The sequence below is a fragment of the Homo sapiens genome, chromosome 3 (genome assembly GCF_000001405.40).
Source record: "Homo sapiens chromosome 3, GRCh38.p14 Primary Assembly".
NCBI classification, from domain to species: domain Eukaryota; kingdom Metazoa; phylum Chordata; class Mammalia; order Primates; family Hominidae; genus Homo; species Homo sapiens.
Window position 1 is genome coordinate 165658357 of NC_000003.12, and position 2863 is coordinate 165661219.

Sequence of the window (2863 nt, forward strand, 5' to 3'; positions counted from 1 at the left end):
GATAATTTATAAATAGGTTCAATTAACATTGTAAGAATTTAAAGAGTACTTCTTTTGGCTTTATGTTGGGTTAGATTTTTTGAATTTCCTTTTAAGACCAGAATTAAGCCCTGTAAAAATGAAACTAAACAAAACAAAGCAAAAAAACAGAGACCAGAAATTCACTAGGCGTTATTACCAAAAATTGCCATAAAATGGATTAAACAGGAAAATGCATATTTAATAATGTTAGTGATTAAGGAAAAGAGACTTGTCATTTGTTCAAAGAAACAAGCAGAAACCTAGAAATGGGATCAAGGTTAAGTGATTAAGAGTCATATCAATCCCAAAACAAAGTGGTTTTATATATTTAAGACAACAGGTGTGAAAGAAGCCAGAGGCTTCTGATATTTGCTTTAAAAAGACAACAAAATTGGAGAACCAACACTAGTTTATTTTGAGAATTATAAAGCTACAGTAATCAAAACTGTGTGATATTGGCATCAAGATAGATAAATACATCAATGGAACAGAGTAGAATCTAGAAATAGACTCAAATATATATTTTCTACAACAATTTGAATTGCTGTGACAAACTACCATGAACTGAGCAGCTTATAAACAACAGAAATTTATTTTTGGAGTAAAAAAACAGTTTTGGAGACTGGTACAACCATAATTAAGACTCTGTTGTGGTCAGGTGTGTTGGCTCACGCCTGTAATCCCAGCACTTTGTGAGGCCGAGGCGGGTGGATCATGAGGTCAACAGATCGAGACCATCCTGGCTAACATGGTGAAACTCCGTCTCTGCTAAAAATACAAAAATTAGCCAGGCGTGGTGGCGGGCACCTGTAGTCCCAGGTACTCAGGAGGCTGAGGCAGGAGAATAGCTTGAACCTGGGAGGTGGAGGTTGTAGTGAGCCAAGATCGTGTCACTGTCTACAGCCTGGAAGGCAGAGCTAGACCCCATCTCAAAAAAAAAAAAAAAAAAAAAAGACTCTGTTTTCTGGAAGGCCAGCTTCCTGGTTCATAGACAGCTGTCTTCTTGCAGCATCCTCACATGGCAGAAGTAGACAAGGGACCACTCATTCTAGGGTGTCTTTATAAGTGCATTAACCCCATTTTTGAGGGCTTTGTCCTTATGACCTAGTCAATCTCCCAAAGGCACCACCTTTAATACCATCGCATTGTGAATTAACTTTCAACATATGAATTTTGGGAGGACGTAAACATTCAGTCTGTGGCATATATGGACTATTGATTTCCACAAAGAAGCATAGGAAATTACACAGAAAAATGACAGTCTTTCCAAAATATGGTTGTGAGATAATTGGATATTCACATGCAAAATGTAAACTTTAATTCATATCTTGAACTTTATACAAATATTTTCTCAAAATAAATCATAGGCCAAAATGTTAAAATCAAAACTATAATATTTTCAGAAATAATAGTAAGAGAAAATCTGTGTGATATTGTGTTAGGCAAATATTTCTTACATATTTTACCAAAAATATCCATACAGGAAAAAAATTAATAATTCAGATTTTCTCAACAGTGAAAAACTTCTGCTCTTCAAAAGACATTGTTAAGAGAATATGCAGACAACCTATATATTGGAAGAAACTATTTGCAATGCATAAATTTTATAAAGGACAAGTCATCCCAACATATTTTTGTAAAAAGATTTCAAAACTCCATGAAAAGATGCTAAACAATCCCATTAAAAATAGGCAAAATATTTGTTACATGGTTCTATTGTATGATGCTGAGGTTTCAGGTATGGATTCCATCACCCAGGTTGTAAGCATAATACCCAATAAGTAGTTTTTTAACCTATGACCTTCTTTATCCCTCTTCACGCTAGTAGTTTGCAGTGTCTATTGTTATCATCTTTATGCCCATCTGTACTCAGTGTTTAGCTCCCACTTATAACTGACAACATGTGGTATTTGGTTTTCTGTTCTTGTGGTGATTTGCTTAGGATTATGACCCCCACCTACAGGCTGCAAAGGACGTGATTTTTTTTTATGGCTGTGTATTATTCCATGGTGTACATGAACCACATTTTCTTTAGCCATCCCACCACTGATGGACACCGAGGTTGATTCCATATCTTTGCCATTGTGAATAGCATTACATTGAACATATGAGTGCATGTGTCTTTTTGGTTGAGTGACTTATTTTCTTTGAGTGGATACCTAGTAATGGGATTGCTGGGTCAAATGGTAGCTCTGTTTTAAGTTATTTGAGAAAACTCCAGACTGCTTTCCACAGTGGCTGAACTAATTTATAGTCTCATCGGCCATGTAAAAGTGTTTTCTTCTTCTCAACCTTATTTCTTTGACTTGTAAAAAGTAACCATTCTGACTGGTGTGAGATGGTAGGTATTTCATTGTGGTTTTGATTTACATTTCTCTGATGATTAGTGATCACAAGCATTTTTCCTCTGTTTGTTTGCCACAGACCCTTTGAGAATGGTCTGTTCATGTCTTTTGCCAATTTTTAAATGCAGTTATTCGTTGCTTTTTTTTGCTTGTTGATTTAAGTTCCTTATAGGTTCTGATTATTAGACATTTGTCATATGCGGAGTTTGCAAATATTTTCTCCCATTCTATAAGTTGTTTGTTTACTCTGTTGAAATTCTTTTTTTTTTTTCTGTACAGAAGCTCTTTCGTTTAATTACTTCACACACGTCAGTTTTTGTTTTTGCTGCAGTTGCTTTTGGCGACTTAGTCAAAAATTCTTTGCCAAGACCAATATGGAGAAGGGTATTTCTTAGGTTGTCTTCTAGGATGTGACAAACCCGCACATGTACCCCTGAATCTAAAATTAAAGTTGAAATTATATAAGAAATAAACAAGCCTTTATATAAAGATATGTA